This window comes from Homo sapiens, chromosome 1, assembly GCF_000001405.40.
Source record: "Homo sapiens chromosome 1, GRCh38.p14 Primary Assembly".
In the NCBI taxonomy this organism is placed as follows: domain Eukaryota; kingdom Metazoa; phylum Chordata; class Mammalia; order Primates; family Hominidae; genus Homo; species Homo sapiens.
This window is the reverse complement of record NC_000001.11, coordinates 181798247-181816177: the sequence shown is the minus strand read 5'-3', so window position 1 is coordinate 181816177 and position 17931 is coordinate 181798247. Positions and strand designations below refer to the sequence as shown.

Sequence of the window (17931 nt, the reverse complement as noted above, 5' to 3'; positions counted from 1 at the left end):
ACCCAGCCAGTTTGGCCCCAGAGTCTTTGCTCTTAGTTGCTATACAAAATTGGCATAGTAATAAATAAATGGCATAAATAAATACATGGCATATTAATATTGTACACCAGGGTCATTTAGTCTCCAAGTAGTAAATCTCCCTCTTTATTCCTCATTCTTTCATATTGAGTTCTTATAATATTTAGTACTGACTGGACAGTCATTACTATACAAAGTAAATGTCCTGTAAATGGGTGAAATTAGTAAATAAATTGATTAAGACAATGCCTAAAATTTGATTATGTTTTTGAGGTGATGAAAACATTCTAAGGTTGTCAGTGGTGATAGTTGCACAATTCCATATAATAAAAACCATTAAATTGTAATTATACATGGATGCACTGTGAGATATGTGAATTGTATCTCACTAAAGTTGTTAAAGGACAAAAATGTTAAGGCAAAACTCTACAATTCATGAATAAAGAATGTTTTATTGAAAAAAAATGCTTTTCTTTGAAACATATGCAACCCAGTCTGTAGGAACTGTGGCTCAAGAAGTTGGTTATCATACTCAGCTCCAGCTGTTATAACACATTACCACAGACTGGGTGGCTTAAACAACATTTATTTCTCACTGTTCTGGAAGCTAGGAAGTCCAAGATCAAGATGCAGCAGATACGGTGTCTGGTGAGGGCCTGCTTCCTGGTTTGCAGGTGGCCATCTTCTTTTTTTTTTTTTTTTTCACATTTTTTCAAAGCAGCTTTATTAAGATATAATTTACATACCATAAAACCTATTTTATTTTATTTTTTCTTTTTTTTATTATACTTTAAGTTTTAGGGTACATGTGCACAACGTGCAGGATTGTTACATATATATACATGTGCAATGTTGGTATGCTGCACCCATTAACTCGTCATTTAACATTAGGTATATCTCCTAATGCTATCCCTCCCCCCTCCCCCCACCCCACAACAGGCCCCGGTGTGTGATGTTCCCCTTCCTGTGTCCATGTGTTCTCATTGTTCAATTCCCACCTATGAGTGAGAACATGCAGTGTTTGGTTTTCTGTCCTTGCAATAGTTTGCTGAGAATGATGATTTCCAGCTTCATCCATGTCCCTACAAAGGACATGAACTCATCACTTTTTATGGCTGCATAGTATTCCATGGTGTATATGTGCCATCTTCTTGTTGTGTTGCTTATGTGGTGGAAAGAGTACTAGCTACCTTTCTGGCCTTTCCTTGTAAGGGTATTACAGTGGTTTGATTGATGGTGCCACTCCAAAATTCATGTTAAAACTTAACCTCCAATACAAAAGTATTAAGAGGTGTGGCCTTTGGCAGGTCACATCTGCCATGAAGTCATGAGGGTGGAGCACCCTTATAAAAGGGCTGGAGGTTGAAGGGAGCACTCTCTTGCCCTCCTGCCTTCTGCCATGTGAAGACACAGCTACTAGATGCCATCCTGTAAGAGACAGCAGCCCTTACCAGGCACCAATGCTGGTGCCTTGATCTTGGACTTCACAGCCTCCGCAACTCCAAGAAATAAATCTCTGTTCTTTATAAATCACTCAGTCTATGGCATGTTGTTATAGCAGCACAAGTTGACTAAGACGGATACCCATCCCATTTATGAGGGCTCTACCCTCCAGATCTAATTAGCTCCCATTGGCCTCACCTCTAAATACCATCACACTGGAGTTAGAGTTTTAACATATGAATTTTGGGGAGACACAAACATTCAGTCCATTGCATCAATCATACCAATGTTTTGAATGGATTGTCTCCACATCTCCACTTGGCTTCAATTTATTGTCACCATTGCTAAAACAATTCCCAGTCCACACCTGGAAGGTAAGAGGAATGGATGCTTTCTCCCTCCATATTCTGGATGGGGCCCTTTTCACAGGGTGAAAGATTCCACAAAGATTCCACAAAGATTGTGGAAATCTTTGTGCTTTTCTGTGGGTCTGTGGGTCTCCTCCGTTCACCTCACCCAGTTCTAATGATAGATGCTGCATGGGAGGAGATGGGGTGGGGATGAGGATCTGGGTTCAGTTCTGGATGATGCACTTTAAAAAGACAGTAATGTTGTAAATCACACCTGGAGGAGAACTAGGAGTTTGGAAAGGGGGCTTGACACCTGAATAAATTAGGGATGTATAGCCTAGGTAGGTCTTGATAACTTTTTCCAAATATTTGAAGAATTGTCTTCTGGAATAGGAATTAGACTTAGGTAGCTCCAGAGGACAAGTCTATGAGCATTATTAGATAAAAGTCACATGGAGGAAGATTTCTGAAGACTAGCAGTATGCGTTCAGATATAAAAACAAAAAATAAAATGGGAGAAGACAGACACAGAATAAAACAACATGAAACGGGTCGCATCCCAAATTGCCAGCTTTTTAGTTAAAGCCAGCTTAAAATACCACATTAGAAAGCTTACCCTTTGCCCTGAAATTTAAGGACTGATTCTATATGCTATGGAAAAACCAGAGATGAGGCATACTGACATGAAATGCCTTGGGTCCAATTCTATAAACTGCAAATTTGGGAGCCTGAATTGTTTTATTATGTCTAATCTCAGGTACCTTTAAAATTAACATCCCCTGCCCTGGCTGAATCAGTGTGAGGTCTCGGAACCTTGTATACAAAAGCAGACTGGCTCAAAGCAGCTGGTGCTTCTAAGAAACTTCTCAAGAAGGAAAACAAGACATTACAGCTTCTGTTCCTTTGAAGCTGGCATCAGCTACTCACAGAAAAGAAATGCCAAACCCTATAAATATGGCTACATCTAGTGAAGTCTCTATTTTCTTTTTGTCAAATATTTTCTGAAATGATATTTTCGAGAAGGATAACATGATCAGACAGTCGCAAGGAAAGGGACCATGTAATCCCGAAATGCTATAAATGAAAATAAATTTGAACCAGGAGTGGAGTGCATATTTGAGGCTTTATTTTAGACCAGGTTGCAGTTGCGTATTGTGTGGCTTCAGGCAACATAGACTTCTTATCCATAAAATGAGCTGTAATTAAATCCCTGCTTTCCAAACATAGGTCCTTGGACCATGTATAATCAGAGTCATCTAAGGTGCTTATAAAATTGCAGAATTTGGGACCCTACCTAAGACATATGGATGGAATCAGATTTTTGCAATAGAACCCAGACATTTACATTTTCAATAAGCAGCCCAGGGGGTTCTGATACACACTGAAGTTTGAGAACTACTGGATCAGGTAGTTACTAATATCCCTTTCATCCTGCACATTTTCTCATTCAATGATTTTTCACCAACTGTGGAGAACCTGGAACAGCATTCAAGCCAAAATTTGGCCTTGCATCTTACTCTTTGTGAGGAGAGCAAAGATGACCAATTGTTGGTTTGCAGTGAACTAAGGGGATTCCCAGGTTGTAGGATTTTCCATTTTAAAACCAGGACAGTCTGGGTAGACTGAAAATGAATCAGTCACACCACGAGGACCCAGTTACGGTGGCTTCTTATTGCAGTGCAGAGACCTACCGGTTCACAAAATTACCAGTAATTCTCTGTCCAGCGTGCATTCAAAACAAGCTGAGGATTATTTTCCCGGACACTCTGTTTAGCAAAAGGTCAAGCTGCCTTTGTTTACCCCCTGGCCTGAGGATCAGGTCAGAAACCATGTTGCTCACTCTACAGTCCATTTGCTCCCAGTGAAGATGGAGGTGGGTGGTCTTCAGTCTCCGAGGAGTTGTCAAGGAGGTTTTAATCGGCCACTCCCAGCCATCTGTACAGCTCTTAAGATCGGCAAACGTGAGTCACCTCTGCTGCATCCATGCAAACCACCCATGGAGAGTTCGACCTCCGCCTATTTCTAGAGAGGCATTTAACGAAGACTGACCTAATTCAAGCAAAAATAGGTCTTGATTAGTGTGTGACTAACCTGCTTATTTCTCTAATTAAAAAAGAGCCTTTCTTCTATGCTTAGTGACTAGATTGTGATGCTTGATAATGGTAAAGTTGCCAGTTACCATTTTTCTCCTTTTTCTTCTCCTTCCTCTTCCTCTCTTTTCCATACCTTTTTTTCTCTCTCCCTCTCTTAAAAAAAAAACAAAACAACAACTTATGCTGGTATCCAATTATGCTGCCTGAGAACCTCTGTTATTTCCTCAATCTTGCAGAGCAGCTGCCATTCAGAACTCTAGTTATTGCCCAAGGTTAAAGTCATCTCTTCCCAGTTCAGATCTGAGCGGCAGCTGCTTCTCCCTACAGACACGAATTCAGTGTGCAAAGACCCACCTGGCACCAGGAACTCCTTGTTAGCTCAGCTACTCCACTGCTAGCCGAGGGAGCATTACCAATCTCCCCAAGAAGCACTCATGCCCATACAACATCGCTTATTTTAAATTGATTCTAAGAATCAGGGAGTTATTTAAAACTTCTTTGAAACTGTTCACAATTACAGTCTATCTATGGAGACCCTCTCCTTTATTTTTATGACGCACACCACATTGAACAAAAGAAAAGTGATTGAAAAAGATAGTTTCCAAATGCCTGGAAAATAAGAAAGGTGATCTGATAGGTCTGGGGCAGAAATATAACAGGGAAATAGAGTCCCAGGCAAAGGGACTTAATACAAGAGAGGACTTTAAGTAGAACTGGTTAACCAGTTTTACCACAGCCACTAGTTTGCTTCTCCTTAGACAAATATTTGAGGTGAGTTTCACTTTAAGATATGCTCCTGGAAATTGTTCATGCATCAATTTATTAACACAATCCTATTTTTAAGGGACCATTATTGTGTTTTAATGAAGCAAAGACTGCTTTGATGACATACATCAAGCTTCTATAATTTATCTCAACCACTGGCCATGATTCTATCAGAGGATTTTCTTACTAGAAAATGAGACTGTGGTCTGATTTCTTTTGGTCCTTGGCTCATCCTGTGAGAAATGTTCTGAAGAAGCTGAAGATGTTCATTACAGAGCTGTATATGCCCTTAAAGGAAACTTGAAAGGTATCGTACGGACGGTCCCTTGGGTCTCTCAGGGCAGTGCAGAATCAGCAGGGAACGTCTGAAGGCTTCACTAGGGCTGGTCAAACTGACTGCCTTCCACTGGTGGGTATAGACATGTGGAGCTTATGTTGCTGAAAGAATTAAATGAGACCCTCTGTGGTAGGCTAAAAATGGGGGAGAAAATCAGGTCTCCAGAGGGTCTGGTGTGACCTTTACTCATTCATGTTTTCACTTTTAGCTGTGTACCCTCTCATGCAGAATTCAGTGGCCAGAAGCTTGTATCTTGGTCTTGGATAATACAGTTATCTCTGTATTTTGAGTTTCTTCCTTATTCAGGTAAGTAAACCTGGTTTGGTTTTATCGATGTGTTGTCTGTGCCTAATCTCCCCATGATTTAATACTTGCCATTGCTGTTTGCCAATACAGGGATGGTGTGAAGGCTAAACTCTGAGAAATGGCTTGTAAGCTCTCCCTTCACTCTCCAGCCTGTCCTTTAACAAGCTCTCTCAAATATCTGCTCTTGAACTAGAGCAAGATACCTCCTCCTGCACCTCTACCTGACATCTTCGCCCCATCCTTATGGCCCAGCCAACCCTTGTTATTCTTTAGGTTTTGTCTCAAATAGCAGTTCTCCCTGGAAGCCATTTCTGACTCCCCAAGTTGTTTTAGGGGCTTCCATAGTACCCTGAAAATTCCTCACCCTCACAAAGATTACACCATGGTGCAGTGGTTTGTTTTCTTATCTGTAGCTTCCATTAGGCTGTGAACAACTTAAGGACACTGCTTCATCTGGCTTGCTTATTAAAACCCTAGTGCTTGGCACCATAGTAAATGGTTAATAAATACATTCAATGAATGAGTGAACAACAATAATAGCAGTCATGTTTTATTGCATACCAGCTATGTGATAGACACCATGCTGGGCGCTCTCTCTCTCTCTTTCTCTCTCTGTGTGTGTGTGTGTGTGTATGTGTGTAATCCCTAATCCTAAATACAACTATGCAAGGTTAGTCTTGTTATCCTAATTATACAGTTAAGGAAGTCCAGGGTTACAAGCTAAGTAACCTGGCTGGGGTCACTGTTAAATGCATAGCTAGAATTTGTACCCAGGTCTACCTAATGCCTTATGCCAGTGTATTTACTGAGCTATATTTATATAAGTTGCCCTTTTCTCTTCCACCCCACCTCCCAGATAGCCACACTGTATTCCCATCATTGTCAAGCCATCTGATCTGGTCACAGAGGCAAGCAGTATTTCCAACATGGCAGGAAATCAGCCTGGATTCCGTCCTCTATTTCCAGGCCTGAATAGTTTGATCCAACTGTCATAGCTCGCTCTTTGAATTACTTTGATGAAAATAGCTCATTTATGCCTGGTCTTTCCATGATACCACCTGCTACTGTTGCAGGGGTTATAAACAGGCTCAGGTTGGGACTGGAGGATGTAAACACTCAGATTTTTTGGTACCCTTTTCAAGGGAGAGGATACACAGCTTCCATTAGGTTCCCAAAGGAGTCTTCTGGACACATGAGCAAAAGAAGGCTCCTGGGGTGTGTTTCAGTTATTTTTTCCTTCTTTTTTGGACGGTTGTGCTAGGGTTGCTGAGGCTACCCTCAGGAGCCTAATATGGCAGTCCAGGTTCACAGGATACTTTCTTGGCCTCTGGAAAACCCATTTTAGAGTTTTTCCAAATGTCAGATCCCTCATATATGAAATAGACTCTGGCAGAATCAATACCTAGGCTCTCCCTTAAGCCAACGTTCTGGGCTCTATGATTCCTGTGTGTTGTAGAATCATTTAGATCAGCAGATGAAGGCTATAGTTATTATTGTTGATTTTAAACACACCCATGATTTTGCCTGCAGAAGCAGAGGATGGGGATCTGGAAGCAGTGCCCCGAGGCATGGGAGCCCTCTTTCTGGATGGATTTATAGTGCTTGGCTTCAGTCTTACATTGTTTTGCCTTCTGGTATCCTGAATGTTCCCCTGGCGATCTCCTGGAAAGGGTTTCTCAATTTATTTATGTCCAGAGTTGATGTTTTATGAACTAATCATTCTTTATTGACCACTTAGGAATGGTCTTTAAACAGAATTATTATTATTTTTCCTTTTTTCTAATGGACTAACAGGCCACTGACCCTAAATGTATGGTTCACTTACATGTGTCATCAATTTGTGAGTTACTTGATATTTCAAATTGCCTTGAATATTGCCGTGTTTATAGGTGTACAGTATTTTTAATGTTGCCATTAACTTTATTGCTACTTTTACAATTACTATCTCCCACTAATGTTTCTCCCATTTTGTTATTAAACGAATATGGAAATGAGAAATGAAGAATAAACAAAATTATGACTTGTTTCTGATGCAAGAGTGGCAGCATTATTTTAAAATAGCTACATAGTAATGGTTTGCTTTTTAAATGTATCCCCCTTTCCTTAGAAACTTGCCTAAGGATCAACTCGTCCTCTGTGTTTCATTAACAGAAGGGGAGCACCCACCAGTGTATTCTCAGCATGTGGCCCTGAAAGATTCAGTTTCTCAGATGTGGTGGGTTTGGGGAATGCACTTGTATGTGGTGCTAATGACGACAACGATGGTGAGACCTGACATTTATCAGATGCCTATTGTGGACAGACACGGGCTATTCTCTTCATACACAATAATTTGGTCACTCTGCCTAACCACCCTACGGGGTTGTTGCTATTATTGTTCCCATTTTAAAGGTGAAGAAAGTGAGTTTTAGGTTAAGTGGCCAACGCAGGGCCTCACAGCATGTAACTGGTGGTGCACAGGTTGGACCTCAGTTGGTTCTATTCCAGCGCTTGCATTTGTAGCCTCTATTCTTTTCTTTTTGTTGCAGGTGTTTAAGGAGTTCCCGGGCTATGTGTGCCTGTGACTAGTCCCAATATTTTGTGATTAAATATTTTAAAAACTGAAATCCGGGTCTTTAGTTTGGGAATTTTCCCAGCTCATTAGCAAAGTAATGTGATACACAAGTAAAGACAAGTTTCTAATATCCCAGAGGCAGGATAGAAGATTTAGGAATGTAATGTGTAAAGGTAACCAATAGATGATCAGATCATAGCACAAAAACACTCAAGAGAAACTCAGAACAGTGTCTATTTTTCTTTATATCTGTTTCATAGTGCCATTAGCCTGTGGAAAACTGTGGACCTGAGTTCTAGGTTAGAAGAAAACAAGAACAGAAATCATCAATCCATGTAAATGGCTTACAAACCAACCTTTGCCCAAGAAACCAACTTATTATCTCATAAAAGTGTGAAGTTAAAGGTTGTCAGATTCTAACTCCAATGGTGATAGAAGCCACAGGAAAGAAATTATGATTGAAAAATAACATAAAATTTAAAAGTTGTAGAGAATCTTAGAAATTTCTAAAATCCAGCCTGCAAGGACCTAGACCTCCCTGAGAGATGACCACATATCACATTTTTGGATGTTTTTAATCATAAGAAAAATCCTAGCTAATAAAGTCATATATCTTAGGGCTCAAGAAAATATCTTGGCTCAAACTACAAACTTAGGGGACTTATTTTGGAATGCTGGTTTCTATCTAATTGATAAAAGCGTTGCTCAGATTAAAATAATTAACACTAGGATTAGGTGAAGATATCTCCTCAAGCAGAATGAAGCAGACAGTTCTCGGAGTGGCAAATCAAATGGAGGCCTGGGCCTGGGGCTTGCTGCTTTCCCTGTGGCAAGGGAGCAATTGCAGTTAAATGGGGAGTGATGTGGACAGGAGGAAGAATGGACAGTATCTCCTAAGAGTCTTGGGAATCAGCTGCTTCCTGAACTTGGCGGCTGAGCTGGTGCCCTATAATCCCCCCACCTTTTTTCAGAGGAGGCTGGTCATAGTTTTTCTGGTCACAGAGCCCTGTTGTTCCATAAGGAAGTTCTCTGCCTACCTTGTTAAACTCCTCGCTTGCAGATCAGGACAATGTCCTGATTAGAAAATCTGTTTTTCTCTTTCAGGGAATGAGTTTGTATGGAATCTTTAAAAAAAAATGTTATCCAAGGCAGAGAACATTTTTATTCCTTTTTTTTTTTTTTAAGAGATGAGGGTTTCACTCTGTCATCCAGGCCAGTCTTGAATTCCTAGCCTCAAGCAATCCTTCTGCCCTAGCTTCCTGAATAGCTGGGGTAACACATACGAGCTACCACACACAGCACAAAGTGCATTTTTTAACAAAAGAAAACCTTTCAGAGCCAGGATGTCCTTGGGACTTTGAAAGCCTCCTGAATTCCTCCTGACTGGTCTGAGCAGACCCCAACTAAGTGCAGCTGCAGAGCCTGCTGCCAGCTTACCCTGAGGGTCCTGGCAGGCTTCACTCCCATGATTTCCCTTTCTGGTAGCAGCAAAGAAACACATCAAGTGAGGGAAATCAGGCCGATGCATTCTTTACAACAAGGTTTTATTTATTCTTTTCTTTTATCCCCCCCAAAACATTAAAGTTTTTCATCTTTCTTTTATTTTTAATGGTTTTCCTTTTGGATCCAAACGAGCATCTATATTATAGGATATCCGCCTGGTCAACATGCAGTGCTGAACTGTGGCTTTAGGAGAGATGCACCGATACTCTGGGTGGGCCAGCATCAGCTGCCATTCAAACACCGTGACTGCAGGGGTGTCAGGCTGGCACACCACAGTGGATGCTGCCCTAAGGAGGTGTCTTGTGGGGCATGACTTGCACGTTTTAGAATGCAGGTAGCAGCATTTTAACAGCCTGAGGCAGAGCACCCAATTTCCCTCCTGATCTCATCTTACATGCTCATCCTCTAGGAGCAAAACAAAGAGGGAATGGCCTGACCATGGGCCCCGAAGGACAGAGGGTGTGGACCCTGTAGTCCACCTCCTTGCAATGTTGTTATTTGAGGCTAGAACCGGTGCACCCTGCAGAGTCTGAAATCTGTTCCTGATGAAGCTCATTCCCATCCCACTCACTGGCCCTTCTCCCATCCCATGGTATTCTCACCACTAGGAAGTTAACATAATCTCTCCTTTATTGGTGCTACTATGTTGAAGAGTTGCTGAAGTCATAAAGATTGTCTTCGAGCCGCTTTAAAGCAAGAACCTCTTTCTCTCCATCTCCCAGGTCTGGAAGAAAATTTTGGGAATCTATTAATCCTCTGAGGCCTTCAAAGCCACTACCCTAGGTGAGTTTAACAGAAAGAACTTCTCTTAATCCAGTCTTGTGCTAAGAAGTTTACCCATATTCTAAGTGAAAAAGAGGATCCAAGGTTACACATCTCTAAGTCTGTCCTCGTCTGGGACCTGTTACTTTCTACCTCACTTTGCTTTTGTTCTACAGCTTGTCTTCCTACCCTCTACTCCATTGTCCCAGCCATGAAATGCCAAACACATGTGGTGCATTAGGCTTTTCTCCTCCATTTGTTTTTCTGGATGAATTCAAATCTTGGACTCAGTTTGAGCGGAGTTGGACTGCCCTCTAATATCACGAAGAGGCAAGTTCCTCTGCAATTGCAGCACTTAGGGTAGCTTTGTATAAATTTTGACTTGTTCACAAAACAACATGATAGAAAAACACTGACTAAAGTTCAGCCTGCAGGCTAAGTATATATCCCAATTGGTAGCCATTAAAACTCAATACCTATGTTTTTACTAACTCCACTGGGATCTGCTTAATATTACACAACTCCATATCAAATGTAACTAAGACCACAACTACTGTCTACCTTAACTGGCAGTTATATTACATTGTTTAGCCCTCATTTCATATTACCTTTATTCTTAAAAATTGATTAATGGCACTTTAAAATTTTGGAGTGTGTTTTTCTTGCTCATCCCTTATAAAAATGTTCAACAGATTTGCTTTAAGTGGTGGTTCTTGTGCCATATAGGCCATTGCCATAAAAAAAAATTAGAGTACTGGAAGGAAAATATTGAGTCATCAAATAAAGTCAAATTCGGATTTGGTATATTTGATTATTTCATTTCCTTTTCAGTTTTGGGGCCATCCTCTGAGTGAAGTGAAGAGGAAGTGGCACAGCCTGGTATAAAGTCTAGGGTCTGGTTGTAGAATGTAGACAGCAATCCATTCTCATCTCTGACAAACTTGTAGGACAAAAAGAGAAAAGATTCGTTCAGATTTCCAATGCTGGGTTGGAGAATATGTCTGGGTGACAATCTATGACTGGTTTAAGTTTGCACAAAGAGAAGGAGACATAAGGAAGCTCAGATCATGAAAACCCAACTTTCTGGATAGAAAAAAAAAAGCCTAGGTTTTTTTTTTTTTTAATTAGAGAGACAACAAGAAGAATAAGGGAAAATGGGAAGAATAGAGTGAAATTAAAGCAAATCTTGGATTCAGATTCCATTAAACAGGAAGTTTCCTTAAAAAAAATCAAATGCTTATAGCAATGCTGAGAATTTCATAGGTACTTCATGGGATCTAACAAGTGAAGATTTTTCTAAATTGCTTTGTGGAGACTAAGTGCTTTAAATTATGTATTATTAACTTAACAGACACTTTACATCATGAGTTAGCCAAACATTCATGTTTCAATTGACAAGGGAAAGAAAGTGAAGAGATGCTTGCTGAAGGCACAAGTTTGAATACAGAAAGCTGGAATATAAAAAACTATTGACTTCCAATAGTTTTCATTTATCAGATTACTACACTATTGTAAAAATTATCTTCTTAAGACATAAATTTTGTATTGGTTAAAGATGTCCTGAAAAAATTCTGTACCTCCTTGGCTTTCACTGAAGTTTTGGGGCAGTTCTTCATTAATTTGGGTTATATTTTAAGTCCTTAGGAAAAGACAGAGGCCAATTTAGACAGAAAGAGAAAGACGACAAAAAGGAGACCAGAGAGAAAAGACAGCTGGTACTATAACCTCAGATTTTTGACTCAAATATCATATCACTAAATTTGATGGCAATCACTTCCTAAAGAGAAACAGATTCAGAAACATTGCAGATCACCAAGGTATCCTTCTTTGCTATTCCAGAATAGGTCTGTTACAAGAAACCCAGCCACCAACCAAACAACCCCAAACAAATAAAAATAAACATAAATCCCCACACCTCTTTTGACTTGGTCTACTCAACTCTTTCATACCTCCAAAAATAAAAATGCAAACCTCAATAATGTATTTACAGGTAGCATGGCTTATTATAAAATCTCCTTTTGCATTTAGAAGTTCAAGATACTAACTCCCCTAACTTACAGCATGCGGAGAGAGGGTGGGTGGAAGAAAGCAAAACTACAAAAACAGAAGGGCAGTTTGGGGGTGTCCCAGCCTCAAAAGCCATCAATTGGACTTTGCTGTGAACCCCATTCATACTTCTCAGCTATCTTGAGTTTTGTTTAGAGAGGCTTTTCAGGCCCTTTGGGTAGGCTGGGACAATCTATGAATTTTTTCTCTTTGGCTTGGTGTGACCTCTCTGGGATGCATAAACCTCAGAAGTTTAAAGCAGAAAGGATTCAAGGAAAGAAAAAGATGGCCTCCGGAAAGCAAAGATAGTTCTGTTTGTCCTTTGTCCCTTAAAGCGCTATGTCTATGTACTCTGACTGGGTGGGCTGTAGCACCTAACAGCTGACAAAACACCATAGGTCTGCAGCCGAGCCCTCCCTCCACAGACAGCAGAGAAGCCATCAGCTGCTGCTCTATTTGGGGTAGACCTGGCTATGATGTACAGGGTGGTTCAGGAAAGAAACAACAAAAGACAAAAAGACAAAGCTGGTGCTACAGGCAGTGCTTATTAATGTAGGATCTCTTTGATCACCTTCTTACAAAGGTTAGGTCACAAGCCCTGAGTTAATTTTGTTTGGATTTTGTTAAAATAAGAGTCTCAATGTGGAGATATTTTAAAGAGAAGTTATCCAAACCTGAACCTGATTCCTGATTTCTGGAGTCAAACCATCATTCCCTGTCTGGCCACTTGCAAGGGACCCACTTCTTCCTTCTTTCCTGCATCATAAAGTCCTCTCCTGTACCTCCTGGACGGTGCCCATTGCTCTGGGATCTATGAGAGAAGGACTTGTAGGCTGGGTGAGAGAGCTAGTGGGGAAGAATTCACCCCAAGGCATGGCAACGCCTCTCACCAGGATTCTTGGTATACGCTAACCCTAGGCCTCTGAGGATCTCAAAACATAACAGACATGAAACTGATGAACAAAAATAGCAGTAAAAATTCCTTAACCTTCAAATCTCAAAATCCTTGAAAGGTAGCTATTTGCTCCCCTTCTGCTGTACGTTTGCCCTTTCTTTACATACAACCTCATAATATTTATATCTTATAAATGAGCCGAGAAATATCCCTCAACCTGTCCCTGGCCCCAACCACTAAAGAAACACTTTGTCCAAAAAAATGAAACATCCAGAGGGCTGAGAAGTAGGATGTAATGAAAAATTGAGAACAACTTTTTAAAAATCAAAATTATATGAGATTTTTGTTGCATTATGCCAGGAGACCTCATTTTCCTGCAGTGAGCTTTTATCCAGTAGGTGGGCATTTTGTCCACCCCCACACCCTACACCTTGTGTCAGTTGTCTTGCGAGGAGCACCAGGTGAGTTCCAAACCCTATTTCATTAGAATGCAATATTCCCCCATAGCTGAGAGAGTGGTGGAGTCAGTCAGGCAAGCAAATAAGCTTGGATTGGGTGGAATTAACCATCTCAGGAGCTGGATCAGCGCTAACATGCAGCAAAACAGAGGCTGGGATGGGAGAACAGAGGGAAGACGACCCTCATGCTCACCACATAGGCTCTATGGGGTTGGGAGGAATCTGTGCAAAGAAGGGAGATACTGGCTGAGAGGTGGATTATGGGGCCTTCTCTTTGTGGCCCCAGAGTCAAGAGAGGTCAAAATCTAGAACATTTGGACTTCAGCTTCTGGGTAATGTTCTTGGTGATCTCAGTGCCCTATGGAGACATTGAATAGGAACTACAAGTGAAGCCCAGAAGAAAAACAGATTCTTCAGCCAGAAGAGCAGCAGAGACCCCCACTGACAATTGTGTTCATGACTCATGTGGAGCCAAGGGGATGCTAGCTGGTGCCAGCCCTTCACGGGGCAGGAAATTCTATGTTGACCCTGGCTCAGGGGCACCTTGGCTGGAGCCCTGCCCCTGTCCAGAGGTCGCTGGCACTCTGTCCTCTAGGAGATGGGGAGACAGACACAGAGAAAGAGACAGCATGCATTCCCTACCTGGAGTCTGTCTGGAGCCTTAAGTGAAATGAGGGGTAACTAAATGCAAACCTACTTAGAACATCTCCCTGCCTTGGTTTCCTTTCCTCCTCCTTTTACCTTCCTCTATCTTGGCTTTGCTCTTGTTTTGAGGAGATGGTGAAGACGAGTCATATATTAGCAAGAGAAACTGAATATATGACTCAAGAGTCTTCTGAGGTGGACCACCAGTGCCCAAATTTGATCTTGTGGTATATCTGAAACACTGGTTGTAGTCTTCTTTTGCATGGAATTTCTCAGATGCTGCTGTAATTAACCAGAGAAAAGAATAGGTGTTGGGGTCTACAGGGGCCTCTTTTCAAGGGAGGCAGACTCTGACACCCAGCAAGGGAAGGCTGGCATTCACTTTTGTTCAGAGGCAGCAGAACACCAAACAAGATGATGAGTTTGTGACTCAACGGAAAATTATTTTATTTTCTGGTCTTAATAGAAGAGTAAGTGCAGGCTGAGGGAAAAGAAACCCAATTTCTTGGTCAAGGGAAGGTGAATAAAAGAAATTCACTGGTAATAGAAAACCCAGGTGGTCAGTCAGGTGACCGCATCTGCAGTGCTTTCCAACACTTTATTCAGGACTCAAATACCTGTGTGTATGAGTTCAAGGAGTTCAGGAAGATTTCCTGGCACAGTAAATTTAGTGTTGTTTATACTATTTGCAGGCAAATTCCATTTCTGGAAATTGCTCTGCCAGCCTGCATTTCTCCTCTTGAAATGGCATAAGGTGTCACTAAAATTCCCTTTCTCAAAACACCATGCAATAGACTCACTGGCTCAGAATGGTCGTCCTGTTGTAGGCCTCCCCCTAGGGAAAGCTGCATTTCCGAGGTGGAAAAAGCAATTTTGTGCACACAAAGCAGCCCATAGCAGCACTTTGGCATGAAATGATGCTGAGCAGAGGAAACTTTAAAAGCAATACAAGGCCCAGTATCAGCGTCTTACGTAACAATCACACCTGTTAGGATCAGGGTGCTGTATATCACATTCCCAGCCACCCTCAAGCACACATGTGCTAAGTGGGAGAGGAAAATGAAGACAAAAGAGGGTCTGAGAGTGGGAGAGCTCTGTCTCTGCCTCACTGGCCTCCTCTGTTGGGACAACTTTGGTTTGGGGGCTGACCGTGGGTCATGAAGCTCCATTAGTATCAGAAGAGAAGGCGGGGCCATGACAAATGATTCTCCAGCCATGTGGTTGAATTTGGCTTTTCAGGGCTGATGCAGCTATTATATTTCAATTTAAAAAATAGAGGGAAAAGAGGCTCCTTCTAAGAAAAATAACAACTCTGGATTGCTCCTGCCCAAGAGGAGGAGTGTGTCTGGGCTGGAGGAGTGTTTATCCACTGAGTGCTCAGTGCAGGGCAGATCAGGATCCTGGGTGGCAGGTTCCATCTGTTCCTGGTGGGGGAAGGAGGGCCCCGTAGGGCACCCATTCACCTGCTGTGATGGCACTAAGGAGGAACTTAAGGGAAAGGTACATTTCCACCAGATAAAGCCAGTGATGTGTCCCCTCCAATGGAGCTGTATGCCATATACCAAAAGAGCACTGGCTTGGCAAGAAAGGGCTCTCTTGCTCAGTGCTTCTGCGTTTGGGCTATTAGGAATGACAGGGTGGGACTGTCAGCCCCAGCTCTTACTCTGGGGAGGGGTGAAGCCCCATCTTGGCCCAGGGGCATGTTCAAGGTGAACAGGGCCCCAGTCTTGTCATCCTGTATGATGAGGCCCCACTGGAGCCTGCTTTGCTAGAAGGAGCAGCCCAAGTCTAAGCTGAGGTATATTTACTAATCACCTTAAAGCATCCTGACAAACTGACCTGAACCCCACACCAGCTGCAGAATCTGCGGTCCCAACGGTCCCTCCTCAGGGGAGGTCCTCAGTAAATCCAGACTTTCACAGAAGCTTATTTCAATCTATCAGCCTTTCCCATCTTTACAGAAATCCCTACCCAGTGGTGGGTAGCCTACTTGGATATGTGTGTTCTGCCCTCTCAGAGGAGTGGCAGGGAAGGCTGGGCCTCGGCACTTGGCCTTACCGGGCTTGGCACAGCACTGGCCTTGCTGCCTCATGGACCAGAGTGTGGGCTGACCTTCAGCCAGGAGGTGCTGGTGTGGCCGTAGCACTGTTACGCATATTTAATTGCTTCCACACTGGTTGGAAAACAGACTGTTTTTAATCTCTTAGGTGGCCCCTGCTACTCTACCCACACCCTCAGGGTTCCCCCATGACTGGCATCTAAAGAGCCAATGCCTGGAATAGCATGGGCTCCGGCACTAGGACCAAACTCCACTTACATTGATGCCATAGCGGTTGTTAAATACTTTTATCTTCACCCTTACCAGAGCCTCAGGCACCTTTGTGGACCCTGGGGGACTTCCTGACCTGTCCTAACTCTCAGCACCTACTGTGTGGGTGACAGGCCTCAAGGATGGGGGGCTATACCCCCCAGCACCACCAGTTCTGTTTCTCTGTCTCCCTCATGGTAGGGGCTGCCGGGCTATGGCTTTTCTTGTCCAGACCAGCCCTTGCTGCTGTTGCCTCAGCACCCTGACCCCTTTCGCTTCGGCTTTCTCCTCCCTCCCTGGCATCCGATGTTCCTGACTTAGCCTGTGCTGCCCTGGGGGAAGCAAGCCACAGGGTTATGCATGAGATGCTGCTGCAGTTGCCCTGGTGGCAGTGGTGCTGGCTGAGGCGTAAGAGCTGGTGAGGGAGGAGAGTCCTCTCCTATGGTCTCCACTACTCCCCAGTTAAGAGCCAGAAAGTCTTCCAGGCTTCTCAGGGCACTGAGTGTAGACATAGGCCAGCTAGATCCCTCCACAGCTTTTAGAAAAGTGGGAAGGGGCAAGGGGAAGCAAAGCCATCCTCGTGTCCCTTCTCCCGCAGTAATAACCCTCCACGTTCCTGGTTTCTTTCCCCAGCAAAGAGGCAGAACTATGGCAGTGCCCATCTTGCAAAGGGGAATAAAGCAATTTGGTGGGTTTGACTGGTGTTCTGATTGTCCTTTACTTCCTCTTCTCTGATAATGCATGGTGTCCTTCCATCTTCCTTTTCCCTCTTCCTCCCCCCCGGGCCGCACTGGCTTCCCAATTCTGTCTTGGTTTTCTCCATGTGAGAGAAGAGCATGCATCGGAGGGGGGAGCAGCCTCTAGCATTTGTCATCTTCTTCCGTGTCACTTAGCAGGTTGTTGACAGCCCCACACATCATGCCTGGCCCAGGCCCCCCGCGCCTCCGCCGCCGATAGTGCCCGTTGGGCATCTGCCAGCTATGCCGCAGGGGTGGGGCTGAGCCGATGGTGTTGGAACGGCCCAGGCTAGTAGCCACGGCTGCTTCGAAAGTGAGCGTCTCCTCCTCACCACAGTCTGAGGCGTGGGAGTCTTCGTGCAGGGCCAAGTAGGGCTCGGAGATGTAGCGCTGTGGGGAGGCATGTTGGCTCTGCTGGGGGTGCGGAGAGTTGGAAGACTCGGTCAGGCAAGCATTGTTGCTCTCCAGAGCTTGGGAGGTCAGCGGGGAGCCCTCCTCGCTTCCATCAGCAGGTGGAGAGATGCTGCCCGCGTGTCGAATCAGGGAGCTGTAGGAAAGGAGGGGCCGGGGCTTTGGCGGGACGGGTGGGAGCTGCCGACGACTTCTTCTTGGGGTGCTGGTGTCAGAGACAGAGGGGATGGAGCTCTCACTTAGGGAACCTGTGCCCTGTATAGCAGGAGAGACATGGCATGTTAGATTGGGCTTGGCATG

At 43.4% G+C, this 17931-nt stretch overlaps 1 protein-coding gene across 13 annotated transcripts in view; it reads right to left on the bottom strand.

Moving 5' to 3' along the window:
* The window catches only part of CACNA1E (calcium voltage-gated channel subunit alpha1 E), a 490386-nt gene continuing 480548 nt past the window's right edge, over nucleotides 8094-17931 (bottom strand). For all 13 annotated transcript variants that reach the window (XM_017002244.2, XM_017002243.2, XM_017002249.2 and 10 more), the window contains one exon: nucleotides 8094-17886. In XM_017002244.2, the coding sequence (XP_016857733.1) occupies nucleotides 17344-17886 (543 nt within the window). In that variant the 3' untranslated portion in view covers nucleotides 8094-17343. The remainder of the gene's footprint in view (nucleotides 17887-17931) is intronic.